At 35.1% G+C, this 16979-nt stretch overlaps 1 protein-coding gene across 130 annotated transcripts in view; it reads right to left on the bottom strand.

The window, feature by feature from the left end:
* MBNL1 (muscleblind like splicing regulator 1) overlaps positions 1-16979 on the bottom strand; it is a 222149-nt gene that overhangs the window by 20206 nt on the left and 184964 nt on the right. For 105 of the 130 annotated variants that reach the window (NR_170697.1, NR_164857.1, NR_164858.1 and 102 more), the window contains 2 exons: positions 12655-12858; positions 36-293 (listed from right to left, as the gene is read on the bottom strand). Coding sequence is in view for 114 of the 130 variants with exons in the window: in NM_001376819.1 (NP_001363748.1) it covers positions 36-293; positions 12655-12858 (462 nt within the window). In the remaining 16 variants the exon portion in view is untranslated. The remainder of the gene's footprint in view (positions 1-35; positions 294-12654; positions 12859-16979) is intronic. The other 25 variants (NR_170701.1, XM_047448139.1, NM_001387801.1 and 22 more) reach the window with 1 other exon arrangement.

The following is a 16979-nucleotide window of genomic DNA, read 5'->3' as shown; positions in this document are numbered from 1 at the left end:
CTGCTAACAAGGAGAGAGCTGATATCTCTACTCACCATGGCAGCTGCGGTGGCTGCAGCCTGTGCAGCTGCAGCCTGGTTGACCTGGTATTGGGCAGCCTTGATCTTGGCTTGCAAATGTGCAGGGGGATGAAAGTATTTGCACTTTTCCCGAGAGCATCTCCCTTTGATGTAATCCATACACACAGTGACTGTGTTGTCATTGGTGTCAATCATTGTGCTGTCAGCAGGATGAGCAAACCGACAATCATTTTCTCCTCGGTTGCAATTGCCACGTTGGTACTCTCGACATACCTATGAGGTCATTAAGTACATGAGGTTTAGTCAACATGAAGAAGAAGAAGCTTTCTGAAGATTTTAACTTAAAGTGCAAGACTGGTGACAGAAGGCTATAGATGAAAAGGGAAAATGATTTTCAAACAAGGCAACAAGTAACTTCAGCATTTCCTAGTTTAGTTACAAATTATAACTCCATTTCAGTATAAATGTCCATAAGAAAATGCATGTATAATGTTAATTATGGTAAAAATACAATCTGAAATGGTGTTGATAAACTTATTAATTGCAAAGGGAAAAATAATAACTTCACAGTAAAGAAACATGGAAAACATCACTTTAACCAAGTGATCAAAATTAATATCACCAATAATGAGACATAATGATGTTGTGTATCTATTGATATGATACAATGAGAAGGGCACACAATCACAGTAGAGGTAGTACTGCCTGAATTTAATCAAGATGAAACATCAGATGAAGTGAATGGAAAGATATTTTACTAATAACCGACTAGTACTCTCCCAAAGTGTCAAGGTCATGCAAGACAGACTGAGATATTATCACAAGCTGGAGGATCCTGGAGTCACAGAAAGAATATTGGGAGGACAATTGGTAAAATTTGATTAAAGTCTGTAGATTGGTTAAACAGCAGCATATCTATGTTAATTTTTCTGGTCTTAAGAGGGATTCTACAGTTATGTAAGATATTAATATTTAGATCAGTAAAGCGTAGACAGAAACTCTTGGGTCCATTTTTGCAACTTTCGTGTAAATATAAAATTATTTCCAAGTGAAAAATATACAAAATCAAATTTGATAGCTTTTTATGAAAATGTTTCCAGGAGTTATTTTTTTGATCTTTAGAGATTCACTTGGTAGCTATATAAAGCAGTAAAAAAAGATTGGTTTTGTTATGTCTGTTTGTTTTATATTTGCTAATTCTGTTAATTTTGCCACGGAGATCTTAGGGAAAAGGCGAGAACATTATTTCTCATTCATCTGCGCAATTTTGACTCTTACTATTTAAAAGCAGTCTTCATTCAGGATACTTTGACCCTTTTACCACAAGAGGGCCATCTAAAACACAGAATGTCCTTTTAATATTTTCGTGCTCTTACTTCAAGCTTCAAGGAAACAGTTTTTAATTGTTCAAGTATCTTTTCACAAATAGCAAACGCAGATACTAAGCACTTTATTTTGAAGTTAAGCAAGAAAGAAAAACTGTAACCCTACTACGACTTAGGAAGCAAAGGTTTTCTTGGATTTGTATAAATACAATGATTGCATTTAAATCTGGGTGTTTTCCCACATTATATTCATATCCTATTATTGAGGAAAGTGTTTCTTAAAGAAGGAGATACTATAATCTGTATCATGCTACATCTTAAAAAAGAGCATTATAAATGATATCTTGCACTACTTGGAAACCTCAACCTAGCTAAAGTTTTGTGTTCCAAATACATACAATGAGCCAGTGTCATTCACCACTACACTCAGTTATTAAGATCACAAAAATGACTTAAAAAGTTATTCAAGATTCTGGTTTTTTATTAGCATATTTATCTTATTGAACATAAGAAAAAAAGTATTACCAAGATTTATAACTTAAAAGCAAAAAATGATCAAGCTGTTACCGAGAATAATTATCCTCCTCTCTGGCTGAACATTAGCATCAGCTATGGAGCTTGCTAAAACAGTACCCAGTACCTAATCAAAATTTATTGTATGTGAGGCTCATCACTATACTCAGGAAGAGTGATGTGCCTACATTAAATAATGATAAAAAGTTGTGTGTGTGTGTGTGTGTGTGTATGCTAAATATATACTACTGCATAAACGAAAGGGCTACTTTTCTGTTTAAGCAAGTCTATGTCAATGTAGGCATCACCAAACAGGAAACTTGCAGAAGGTCTATAAGTGATCTCTCTCAGCTGCTATTTGCTCCCTCAGTAATTCCTGCTTTCTTGAATATGCTCAAAATGAATTGGCAGCAGGGAACTAATACTCTACTTTTCCAATTTAGGTTACTCTTTGCCGCATTAACAAGAAAGAAGACTTGAATTTATTTAGGTTCTGTGTGTATGTATTTGCATGTGTGTGTGTGTGGGGGGGGGGGTTTCTACAGGTTAAGGATTGGTTTATTATAATTTCATGTTCTTTACTCTCCTGTGGAACATTTAGAAAGAATTCTAAAAATATTTAAGCAGACTTAATAACTAAGAATTAGCTCAGAATGTGTCATAAAACCAACCTTTTCTGAGGTTAAAAAAAACTTAGTCAACTGCTTTTGCATAATATGCATGTTTGACTCTTTCATATTTTTATTTTTTTTTACAGCTTACGGTTTCTCCTAAGAAATAGGACAGAAACATACTGTAATAGCTACTCTCACATTATTCTTGCTTGTGAAAAAATAAGGAAGAGAAAATCTCTTGTGAAAACTTGTACTGGTGAGAGTTACAGGCCAGTGGGACTGGAAATTTACCAAGCATTAGATATGCATCTGAATAGTGGGGTACCTATGGGAACATGAACTTCCCAAACCTTCTAAAACACATTTTCCCTAATAGACATCATCAATAAAATGGGATCTATCCCTTGGTTGCTCAATATGAGTTTGATCTGGTTTCTCTGATAAACTCAAGGACACTTTAGACTATGCTGATACCCAAAATAAATCTCTTAGACATACTATTACATTAGTAAATTATAACTGACAACATTTCACAAATTTAATCTCATAATTAAAAACAGGATAAGAAATTATAACATTTATCATACAGAGAATTTGAAACAGAATATAAAATTAAATCTGAAAATTCTAACAACACTGTGGTTCATTTTTCTCTTCTCATCCAGTCTTCTGTATGTATGCACACATTTTTAAAAATAATTGTAATTATAGTATAGCTATTATTTGGTGATCTTTTATGCTCAACAATGCAGCATAAGCATTTCTCATTTTGCTAAATAATTTCCAGAGTGAATACTTTTGATGGCTGCATCAAATTTCATCAAATAGTGTACATAATACAGGTAACTCTTTTGGAGGATATCTAGATAATTTCCAGTATTTCCATATTACAAGTAATATTCCAAGAATATATCCATGACTATAGGCATTTTTCATTATTTTTGGCAGATAAATGTACAGATTTATTGGTATATGTGTATGTACTGGGTCAACACATAAAAATATTTTCTGACTGGGCGCGGTGGCTCAAGCTGGTAATCCCAGTACTTTGGGAGGCTGAGGTGGGTGGATCACTTGAGGACAGGAGTTCGAGACCAGCCTGGCCAACATGGTGAAACCTCATCTCCACTAAAAATACAAAAATTAGCTGGGCATGGTGGCAGGCGCCTGTAATCCTAGCTACTCAGGAGGCTGAGGCACGAGAATTGCTTGAACCTGGGAAGTGGAGGTCGCAGTGAGCCAAGATCGTGCCACTGCACTCCAGCCTGGGCAACAGAGCAAGACTCTGTCACAAAAGAAAAAAAATATTGTTTGATAAATGGTTTTCAAACCTGCATTAAAACAATAAGATCTATTTAGCTACACATATAATGTGATTCAACATGAGCCTTTTACTTTACAAATACTAAGGCAAGATTTGACAATGAAGATATTCACTGAAAACATTTAAGTTCTATTTCCAGAAAAACATCTATGGAATAATTATAAACTTTAAATAATCAAAAGAAAACATAATCAGGAAAATTTCCCAAGAAAATGTAAATTAATTCTAAATAAACCTTCTTTTGTTAACTAAATAGCAATAATATAGCGGACAGACAATAGGGTTTGGAGTCAAAAATTGTGAGTTCCAGTTCCTATCACTTTACTAGCTAAGGAATCTTCACAATGAAAACACTATTAACATCTATTTAAAAGGTCATGAATACTGAATAAAATAATGCATAGCTTACAACACACCATACAAATCTGGATAATATGAATAATCCTGTCATTTGATCTCTAATTTTTTAATACATGAAAAACTATATTTCAAAATGGTCAAAATAACGTAAGTTTTATAAGTAGTATTAAACTCAGCAATGCTCTCAAGTTAAAGCACTGGGATTCTAAGGAGATTAATGTCAATATTTGAATTTATTCAAAAGTGGAGGGTCATTTGCATATTCTTTAAGGAGATATCCCTTTGAGGTAATATGTTTTGTGTTCACCATATTTGTATAATTAACTCAGTCATCTTGGAGAATAACAATCAAAAGCAGGAACAGAAAGCTAATTATAACAAGAAACAGGGACTTTGTCCATTTTAACATTTTGAGAAGTCAATTTAATAGTTAATGGCCAATATTAAGAAACGTATTCAAAGACATATAGCTACATGTTCACCAATAAGCAGCATGGACTTCACTTTCTATTAAGCTGGAACTAACAAGCTAAATTTTTCTAAGTATTACTTTAAAAAGTAATCCTAGATAATCACTTTGATCAATCACTTTGATCAAAGTGTCCACAGCATCGCTGATCATGAGTTTATAATTTAATGTAAAGAAATTATCTCTATTTTCATTTAAAAAGGATTAAAATATCTACTTTGTAATCCTCATAATTCTGGTGATTAGGTAAATGTAACTGTAGTCAATTTATTGTACAATTAAAATCCCTAGATAAATATCGGATGATGTGATTTCTAGTTTCAGTTGGTGATATGGTTTGGCTGTGTCCCCACCCAAACCTCATCTTGAATTCCCACATGTTGTGGGACAGACCCGGTGGGAGGTAATTGAATCATGGGGGCATATCTTTCCTGAGCTGTTCTTAAGATAGGGAATAAGTCTCATGACATCTGATGGTTTTAAAAGGGTTATGTCCCTGTGCAACCTTTTTTCTTGTCTGCCACCATGCAAAACGTGCTTTCCGCCTTCTGCCATGATTGTGAGGTCTCCCTAGCCATGTGGAACTGTAAGTCCAATAAACCTCTTTCTTTTCGTAAATTGCCCAGTCTTGGGTATGTCTTTATCAGCAGCGTGAAAATGGACTAATACATTTGGTTATTCAATAATTGTACATATTTGATCAATTTTTCTCCTTCCAAAAAAATTCAAGAAAAGGACACCTACTTTAGCTACCTCATAGTATTTCTGTTAGGATCAAATGGGAGCATTCTTTGAAGCCTAAAAGGCAGACTCCATCATTACTATTCAGGCCAGAAAACACAAGCATGCTTCTATAGGTAACAGAACTAAGAATCTACCACTTGATCTCTTATAAAAACATAAAATAAAATCTGAATAGGAATGACCAAAGACAGAACCATTAAATCCACTTCCACGTTGTCATTTATTCATTCCCATGAATGACTGTGCAAACCCAAGAGGACAGGAAAATAGACACAACTTTGAAACAAGCTTGTCAATACACCAAATTAGCCATTACCTTATTTCATTTATGTTATTATTATTATTATTATTACTACTTGAGATAGGGTCTCCCTCTGTCACTCAGTCTGGAGTGCAGTGGTGCAATCTCAGTTCACTGCAGCCTCAACCTCCCTGCTCAAGTGATCCTCCCACCTAAGTCTCTCAAGTAGCTGGGACTGCAGGTGTGAACCACTGTTCTTAATATAGCAATTACTATACTCTATACCATATCAAAACTCTAATCACATAGATTAATAATTGACAGAGCCATAGTGTATTAAATTGTTTAAATGAAGATGTGACTACATTTTTAAGAGCCATTCTAAAGTTTATTACAGATATAAAAAAACAACCTACATAAACCTCTATGTGAAAACTCTTAAGGTTTCTTGGCAATTTTCTGGAGATAGTAAAAAAAGTCACACAAGCAGTAGCCAAACATCCTCTACAAAAATGCAAAATTAAAATAATCCTACCGATAAGACTTTCCTACATTATTAAAAGCATCTTCTTTCCTAATCTTTTCTGAATAGAAAGTCTTTTATCCCATCATGTTAAATCCACTAAACACCTAAAAAATCCCAACATAGGCATGCTTTTCACTGTCATTCTAATCCTCATTTAGCTTTAAACGTTCTATTTTTTGTAGTCAATGGGTATTATATTTTTTTCTGCCTACATGAAAAGGGTTATTAGATTCTTCTGTGTAAGTAATGGAAACATACAACAATTAGTGGCCCAAATTAGAAACTTGTGTAATGATTACCTCACAGAATAAAACTTTCAGCCAAGAATAATTTATTTTATATTTTAATACAAGCAAACGCGAACTGAAACTATCAGAAACCAAGTCGTTTGCCCACCTTTCCTGGAATACTCATGCTTTTCTCATATAGACTGCTGATGTAAAAATGGTGCAGCTAACCAAATGTCAATCTAATGTTTTCATCAGTGTCTGGAATACGTGTCCCCTGGTTTTTATTGGATTACGCCTATGTAATATGAATTACCTTAACAGTCATCATTGTTTACCTAAAGTATTTCACTATGCCATGCACAGTGTTCTTACCAACTTATCTGAGGAGACAGATTTTTAATTAAGTTTCACAAAAAACCATATCATTTACAAATACATTAAGTAAACGATGAAAAAGTTGAAGCCTAAATAAGAGATGCTAGTATCTTTTAGTGCATGTGTTTTTAACTATTTGCATTTAGAATCACATGGCAGAAAAATATTATCAAACCCCACTGCAGATCTACTGAATCAATCTTTGGGGATGAGGTCCTACATTTTTAACAATCACCCCATGTGATTCTAATCTCATTAAAGTATGAAAACCACTCCTTTAGGTCTAGGTGCATAACCAAGATGCTGTATTTTATAGCTGAAGTGCTCAAAATGCAAACATGTTTCCAAGGAGAATGTTAACACATGATAAACATTTTTTATATTTTAGTACCTCTGTGGGATTACCCTGAGTCCTGAATAAGGGGATGTATCTTTCTGTGTTTAATTACCTGAGTAACTGGTTGACTGACTCATTTATCCATTCATTTAACAAGTTACTGGGCATCAGTCATGAGTTTGGGCACTATTCTCATGTGGATCTTTTATTGTCATTGATAAGACAGGAATTAAAGCATTTCAAAGACATTTCTCACATCTTCTACTTGAAATATTTTCAACAGTTTTCTACTGAATATCGTTCAGTAAATGAGAGAATGAATGCATTCATGAATTCTTTTTGCACCATAAAAAATTACTGTGCATCTTGAAAATAAGTCAAACAATGATTTCTCCAATTACTAACTCTTTGTAGTAAAGCAGGGGTATGGCTAAAACACTCAGTCTTTCCTAGACTCTACAGATTTGAATAATTTCTTAACATAATCCTGGAAAGAAATTGCTGAGACCAGCCTGGCAAACATGGTGAAACCCCATCTCCACTGAAAATACAAAAATTAGCCGGGCATGGTGGCACACATCTGTAATCTCAGCTACTCAGGAGGCTGAGGCAGAAGAATTCCTTGAACCTGGGAGGTGGAGGTTGCAGTGAGCTGAGATCGCGCCACCGCACTCCAGCCTGGGCAACAGTGTGAGACTTAGTGTCAAAAAAAAAAAAAAGTATGAATTTTGGAGTACAGAAAGTACTTGGCAACAAAGTCTTTTAAAAGATAGTCAGTAAAGAAAGGATAATATGAATATTGATATAAATCTCATGTTGTGTGTATATGTGATATATGTAATATATGCTTATAGATATATGTATATAATTTTTAAAAATAAATGTTTCAGTAGCTTGTGGCTGGTGTTAAAAACAAGAAAATGACCTAAATGTCCCTAGAATGTTCTAACTGGAAGTGACCTTAGAGATTATCTGGTGCAACCCCCTAATTTTACATGTAAGGAATATGAAGCCCAGAGAATAAGAGCATCTCGATCCAAGCTGACTCACCTAATTAGCAACATCACATGCAGTAATTCTTGAATTCCTGTTTTCCAATTTAACATTTTTTTTCTGTAGTATCACACTGGGTGCTGTAAAGATGTCAGTTTTAAGCAATTATGTAAGAACCAGAAGGCTGACAATCTATGGTATTTTAAATTTCTTTACTGTCTAACAAGTTGCAGTAAAAAGAGAGGAAGAAGTGGCAAGAAGAACTGGCCAATAGTTTAACTGATTCCGAAAATTTTTCACCTCAGAAGGAACTCAACATTCAAAAATATGCTTCAGAATTTCACAAGGAAGAAGTAGAGTATACATTTAAATGCCAAATGACCAAACATTTGGTCAATTAATAAGTGTGTGCATTTATTGCCATGTCTTTTAGACTTCAATACGTAATGCAATTAGCATGCGAGGAAATAACCTGCAGATAGGATTGTCTAAAATCACAAGCACAGAGCAGAAAGATAAGCCTCTGAGCTTCACACGGCAGTATCCTAACAGGTTGTAACTGTGACACTGGATCAGATCCTGTTAACAAGAATAAGACAGGAAGCTGCACTACAATCAAGCATTTAGATCAGCAGGATTCAGATAAAAGGGAAATGACAGTTGATGCAGTTGTAACCGTTTGTGCTGACTACAGCAAAAGAAAACAGACAAAATACGCTAAGTAGCTCCTCACAAAAAGAAAAAACTCAAAGACAAAAGTCTTCATTTCAATTAAGCACTACAAAATATAACCAGTAACAAACTACCTGAAACTGTGAATGTGGCAGGATTGGATTAGAAGAGTTATAACCAGCTTTTTGAATATCATCTATTAATAATTAATTCATTAAAGTTAATCTCAGACTTCTTATTTGGATCCCACTAATCAATCAACAATTATGCATTAAGAACTCAGGGTTTGCTTTAGAAAGGTTGGGGGAATAAAACTGCTTCACATGCTGAGGATCCAATAATTTCAGATATTTAAAAATTTTTAAGTTTCCTCTTAATCCATCTGCAAACAGCATTAGTTAATTAATAAGCAAGTACAGTTGTGTAATGACAAATCACTCAAAAATCCAGGTGTATCAGGTGTATCTACCTAACAAGAAAGAGTTGCTTCACATCTCTTCTCCTAAAATCATTTCCCTGTAAAAGAGAATTAATAATAGTATCTTCCTCATAAGATTGTTTTGAGCATTAAACCTGCGATGCATGTGTCTGGTATATGATTGTCAATATGCTAAAATCTGACAGCCTTTGTAATATATGCAACAAAAGTTAATAAATAATAAATCAGCTTATTAACTAAATTCCTGCTAAACTGACAAAGTATTAGAATCAATTATGTTCATACAACAGCCTCAGTTTGCCAGTTTCTCAGTAAAATTTATCAGCACTAAGTATTGCCTCATCCTCAGGAGGAGGAAATAAAAGGTATCCAAATAGGAAGAGAGGAAGTCAAATTATCCCTGTTTGCAGACAACTTGTTTCTTTATTTAGAAAACCCCATAGTCTCGGCCCAAAAGCTCCCTGATCTGATAAACAACTTCAGCAAAGTTGCAGGACACAAAATCAATGTATAAAAATCAGTAGCATTCCTATAAACCAGCAACATCCAAGCCGAGAGCCAAATCAGGAGTGCATTCCCATTCACAATTGCCACAAAAAGAATAAAATACTTAGGAATAACAGTTAAGCAGGGAGGTGAAAGCTCTCTAAAATGAGAATGACAAAACACTCCTCAAAGAAATCATGGATGACACATAACAAACTGAAAAACATTCCATGCTCATGGATAGGAAGAATCAGTAACATTAAAATGGCCATACTGCTCAAAGCAAGCTATACATTCAATGTTATTCCTGTCCAACTACCAATGACATTCTTCACAGAATTAGAAAAAAAACTATTTAAAAATTCATATGGAATAAAAAAAGAGCCTGGATAGCCAATGCAATCTTAAGCAAAAATAACAAAGCTGTAGGCATCACATTACCTGACTCAAACTATACTACAAGGCTACAGTAACCCAAACAGCATGGTACTGGTGCAAAAAAAGACACACAGACCAATGGAACAGAACAGAGAGCCCAGAAATAATGCAGCACACTTACAACCATTTGATCTCCAACAAAGTTGACAATAACAAGCAATGAGGAAAGGACTCCCTATTCAATAAATGGTGCTAGGATAACTGGCTAGCCATACACAGAAGATTGAAACTGGACCCCCTCCTTACACCATATACAAAAATCAACTCAAGACGGATTAAAGGCTTAAATGTAAAACCCAAAACTATAAAAACCCTGGAAGATAACCTAGGAAATACCATTCTTGACATAGGACCTGGCAAAGATTTCATGACAAATATGCCAAAAGCAATCGCAACGAAAAAAAAAAATGGAAAAATGATATCTAATTAAACTAAAGAGCTTCTACACAGCCAAAGAAACTATCAACAGAGTAAACAGCCTACAGAATGGGAGAAAATATTTACAAACTATGCATCCCACAAAGGTCTAATATCTAGAATCTGTAAGGAACTTAAATTTACGAGCAAAAAACAAACAACCCTATTACAAAGTGGGTGAAGGATATAAACAGATGCTTTTCAAAGAAAGATATACATGTGGCCAACAAGCATATGAAAAATTCCCATTATCACTAATCATTAGAGAAATGCAAATCAAAACCACTAGATACCATCTCACACCAGTTAAAATGTCTATTATTAAAAAGTCAAAAAATAATGAATGTTGACAAGGTTGCAAAGAAAAAGAAACAATTATACACTGCTGGTAGGAGTGCAAATTAATTCAACCATTGTGGAACACAGTGTGGCAATTCCTCAAAGACCTAAAAACAGAAATACCATTCGACCCAGTAATCCCATTACTGGGTATATACCCAAAGGAATATAAATCATTCTACCATAAAGACACACACGTGTATTCACTGCAGCACTATTCACAATAGCAAAACATAGAATCAACTTAAGTGCCCATCAATAGTAGCCTGGATAAAGAAAATGTGGTACATATACACCATGGAATACTATGCAGACATAAAAAAGAATGAGATCATGTCCTTTGCAGCAACACAGATTGAGCTGGAGGCCATTATCCTAAGCAAACTAATACAGAAGCAGGAAACCACATAACCACATGTTCTCACTTGTAAGTGGGGGCTAAATGATGAGACCTCATGGACACAAAGAGGGAAATAACAGATGTTAGGGCCTATTTGAGGGTGGATGGTGGGAGAGGGGAGAGGATCAGAAAAAGTACCTATTGGGTATTGCGCTTATTATCTGGGTGATGAAATAATCTCTACACCAAACCCTCATGATATGAAGTTTACCTATATAAAAACCTGCACATGTACTCCTGAACCTAAAATGCAAGTTAAAAAAATATATTGCCTCATCCTCACCAGGGAAAAGAGGAAAAGGTCATTTTGTTCTTTAGGTGGGTTCAATGAATGACACGTTTGTACCTTCAGTGTACATTTGATGCTGTCACTTTTTCTCTACATCTATAGTTTACCAAATTCATTAATTCACAGTCATGCTGAAATTCTGAACAACCACTTTGAAATAAGATTTAAAACTTTAATATCTTTTTCATGTACCAACAGCAGAGCCCACACATCTGATCATCCTTTACTCTAGAACTTAGAGGATTATGCAAAAAACTTTTTTTTTTTTTTTTTTGAGACGGAGTCTCGCTCTGTCGCCCAGGCTGGAGTGCAGTGGCGCGATCTCGGCTCACTGCAAGCTCTGCCTCCCGGGTTCACGCCATTCTCCTGCCTCAGCCTCCCGAGTAGCTGGGACTACAGGCGCCCGCTACCACGCCCGACTAATTTTTTGTATTTTTAGTAGAGATGGGGTTTCACCGTGTTAGCCAGGATGGTCTCGATCTCCTGTCCTCGTGATCCGCCCGCCTCGGCCTCCCAAAGTGCTGGGATTACAGGTGTGAGCCACCGCGCCCGGCCGCAAAAAACTTTTATGAGAGCATACTTCATAAGGTTTTCTTTCTACTTCAACCAAAATATTGTACAGCTTATGAGGAAACTTGCAATAATAAATTGTAAAATGTTTTATAGACACTAATATTTGTTAATCTTTATGAGAACAATTTTTAGGGGATTGATAATATTTGTTATTCTTGATAGCTGCAACAACAACAACAACAACAAACATTCAGGAGGCATTTGCTATGTGCCAGATATTCCCCTAACTCTTTGAGGTAAGCGCCGTTTTAAAGATGAGGAAATTGAGGTACAGTGATGTAACCAGGCAATGTGACTTTAGCGTCCAACCTCTTATCCACTATTCTAAACATGGATGTTGTAGCCTTTATAAACGTTACATTAATCAAATACAGCATTATCTATACTCTAGTAAAATGTTCCAAACCCTAAGCCAAAATCTGTTTTAAAATTTTTACAACTTTTTGGCCATGGAAACACACAAACAAACAAAAAACCACACTTTGAGAATTAGAATGTAGTATATAAAGACACCAACTAGTCATTCCTACCTCAAGTCTGTCTGTTCGCATTAATTTCTGTGCAGCAGCTGCAGCAGCTGCAGGTACAGGGACACCCGGATTCCCTGTAACCAACATTGGTGCAGTCGGCAAGATCTCTGCCGGGACCAGGCTTGGAGAAACAGGTCCCAGATAGGGATTAAAGGCGGCTGCTGATGCATTGGTGGCTAAGCTTGGTGCAACTGAAAACATTGGCTGAAAAATAAAATAAAAGCAAAATTTAACATGCAGGTCTCAGCTCAAAGTTGATATTCTTAATTATACATTTGTCCTCCATCCATCTATCCATTCTTCCTTAGGCCTTCCCTCCTTCCCTTTAATCCTGTGTTCATTTACTATCATTTAGGGTAAGGCTGTTTTATTAAATAAACATTCATCAAATCAATGTTTTTCTAAAATATAATAAGTAAAATATCCATTAAATTATTCACTGGAATTTTGTAGCTGAGGGTCTATAATACTTGTATTTTTTTTTTGAAAAATAGATAAACTATGCAGAAACTTCTTGTGGTCATCTAATCTTCATCTTTGTCCTGATTTAATTCTAGATATTTGTCTAACAAATACATTTTGTAATTGCTATGTCAGATGTACTTGAAAGACCTGTTTACAACTGTTAATAGGTTGCAAGTGTCCTATTATCTGGAATAAATAAAGTAGAACTCCCAGGGGATAAAAGAGTTTCACAGTCAATGTAAGCTGTAAATAAATCTCATGGGGTATGTGAAAGGTGATGATGACACCTTGCCTTTTGAGCACATAAGATAAAGTGTTTGGTATATTTACTTGATGGTGATTTTCCTGGGGGAAATTATAAGTGTTCCACTAGCCTATCACACCTTATTAGGGGAAAACAAGTCTGAAATGTGAAGTTTGAAGTAGAACTGCTACTAAAGAAATGCTACATGATTGGTCAAGGAAATACATATGGCAGCACTGAATAAACTGCTACAAGACAGAATTTCTTCCAGAAATGCTTTCGTGGATATATAAGGATTGTTTCTATTTGTTGATATGCAAACTTGCATATCATAAAATATATTTGTTCTTGAATAGCATTAATTTACCTGAAATCTAACAATTTGTTTTTCTAGTATTTAAAGTATAACAGAACACAATTTCATACCTTATTCATAGTACATTTTTAACTTCCTAATAGAGTCTCAATTCTAATTCTTGAAGTTTAATGCTTCGTTTAATAATGTTTGTTTCTGAAACACAAAAGCTTGTAGGCAAAACGGATGCTGTTCTTTAAGGTAATATTTAACAATTTATTTTCTTTACTCAGCAGTAATGAACAGAATTATAGAAGACTCTTTAGAATAAAAGAGACATTAGAATGTATTAATAACTAATTCTGCCATCTGACAGGAATAAGAAGTTACATGATATCTGAATATATGTAGTATTCAAGAGAGCTCTGTAGTAAAACTTTTTGCAATATAAGGTATATATTACAAATGTAATTCTTATAGTACAAAAGAAATTTGTTAAAAGATAAAATATATCCTCTATTCACTCTGGCCCTGATTCTATATTTAGAAAAATAAAATGAATTTCAAGTATTCCCTTTTTCTTAGGGCAGTGGTTTTCAACTGAGTTATTTTGCCTCTCAGGAGACACCTGGCAATGTCTAAAGACATTTTTGGTTGTCACAGCTGGAGGGGAACTATTATATTCAATGGATGGACGCCAGGGATGCTGCTAAGTGTCCTACAACATACAAGACAGCCCCTCGCAACAAAGAATTATCCAGCCCCAAAAGTCAATACTGTCAATGTTAAGAAGGCCTTTCTTAGGGAACTCTTCTGTTGACCTCAAAAATTGCTTGGGAAACAAACTCTTTGCATTTAGCTATACATTTTTACTAACAAAAATATGAAAAAACAGAATATGTAATACCTAATGTGATTCATTGAGAAGAAACAATACAATATAGATTATACCATTTCAACTTAAAATAATTATGCCTCTGAACATGTTGGTTTGAATGCCATGTTTAGCTGCTCTGCCAGGTCGATGGCTCTTGCCTGATGAAGTGCCCTCAAGTAGCACCTCTAATCCCCAACCCCTCCCAGCACAAAGCAGCAACCTGCAGACAACAAGAACTATCTGTGCATTCCAAATCTTATCAACAAGCTGTCAGAAACTAGGGCCTAGGGCATTCTCTGTCCACCAACACTTCCCTGAGCCGCAGCTGACTTAATGCTGTGCCACTGTCCACTCTCTGCCCAGGTGACAGCAGGACAAGGATTGATTGTATACTGAATATATGTTGAACTTGGATTTCTATTCAAGGATATTCAGGTTAAACTTGTACTTTGTTATACATTGTCAGATTGCATATGAAAATCCAGCCAGACCAGCACCCTAATTTCTATATTAGTCATTTAAGAATTATAAGAAATTTAGCATAGAAGACTAAAAGAGTCTATGTCAGGGGACTAACAGACTAGTTTAGCAAATGGACAACAGAAGCTATTCATTATCATTCCTCTTTGCATTCTTTTACTATGAATAAACATGTATTTCCAGATAGTGCATTTTTAATGTATACTTCAGAAAGTTATTGAGATGTTTATATTATTGCACATAATCTACTATAATTATTTAAAAGCAAAGGTCAAATTTAAAAATGTTTTTGGAAGAAAAAGCAATTTTTATTTTAATAAAATGAGACCAGAGGCTAATAAAACTCAGCTCTCTAAATCTCGTCAAATAAAATACACTGGAAATCTAAAAATGCATATGATGCAGCTGTTGCACATTACAGGCAGAATAATACTTTTATTATGTAAAAATACTGCTTTTAATAACTGGCAATAATATTTCCTGAGTTGTTTCTATAGAGTCATCAAGACAATTGATCTTTCACTTTAATTCAGCAGAGCAAATTCAAATCTGAACAATTTTAGGGCACTGTCCCCAAGTAAAGTCGGTAGGAGCGTTTAAAAATGTGAAACATCAACTATTCAGCAAGCACTATCTCAAATTGTTCCCTCTTTCGATAAGTAGAGCTATTTGCCGAACAGGCAGACAATCAGTAACAATAGCTTTATACTTTGAAACTTGATTCCAAAAGACAGACAGACAGACAGACACACACACACACACACACAAACACACACCATTCCTTCATTTATTTTAAATTTTTGTAAATTTGTTACATCACTTTAGTTATATTGTTTTTTCAAGGAGCGCCATGTTGAAGATAGGTCACTGCTAGCCCCATCAGAGAGTGCCCTAATCAGAGAAATCAGATTAGGAAAGCACTTGACCTGCACTACTGCCAGTTTTCTATTCCAAAAGCTAACCTGCAGGGGGTTCAGCAGAATCTCAAAGACAGATATTAATGCAATGTTGTTATCAAGTGGCATCCTGTTTTCTCTGAAGGATAACATATAACAATGTAATTGGTATATTTGATACTGACTATATTCTTGTGATAATGATTTGTAAGTATCTCTGTTCCTGAAAGACATAAGAAAGTTTGGTTTATAATTGCCTTTTGCCAATGAACATCCTCATCAGAGAAAAACAAAGTACAAACTTACTAATTCTGGTGCTGTTTATGGGTTAATCACTTGTTTGTTTTAAATCAGACATTGATTCCATTAAGGTAATCAGACTTCATTATAAATCAAAGTGTTAATTTCATATTATGACCCCAGTTAACTATGCAAACATGATTATTAGTAGTAATTCCTTATTTATTTTGTGTCAGCATCATGCTGAGTGCTTTATCGGTGCTATTTATTGTATTTAATCCTTACAACAGTAGAGTATAAATTCCCTTGGTAATTTTCTTTTCTTTTGTGTTTTTTGAGGGGTACAGATCAGAAGAGATCTGTTTAGTTCCCTACTAAATCTCCAGAGCCTGGAACAATGCCTGGCACACAGTAGGCGCTCAATAAATACCTGTTGAATTAGTACTTGAGTGAATGAATGAATGAGTGAATTGCAGCCTTCTGAAGTGGGTATTAGCCCCATTTTTGCAGATAAGGAAAAAGGATCACAAAGATTATGTGTCTATAGACACAAATGAGTGAATCAAAGGCCTAGGATGTGACCACAGGTATGTCTGATTCCAAGTGGTTGTGATAAAGTGGTTTTCACACAATGAACCAGGTGTCCATTAAAATCATCCGGAGGACTTTTAAACCGTGAATGCCCTGGCCACTCCTCACTCGTCAGAATCTCTGGTAAGTGGCAGTATTTTTTGAAAGCTCCTAGGTGATTCTAGTTCCACACACTATGTGGTTTTCTACAGATATAGGTACATTTTTCTGACTGTAAGTAAGGTCTCTAAGGATACA

The sequence above is a fragment of the Homo sapiens genome, chromosome 3, assembly GCF_000001405.40.
Source record: "Homo sapiens chromosome 3, GRCh38.p14 Primary Assembly".
NCBI lineage: Eukaryota > Metazoa > Chordata > Mammalia > Primates > Hominidae > Homo > Homo sapiens.
Note: the sequence above shows the minus strand (reverse complement) of the source record. Positions and strands in the feature narration are given on the sequence as shown.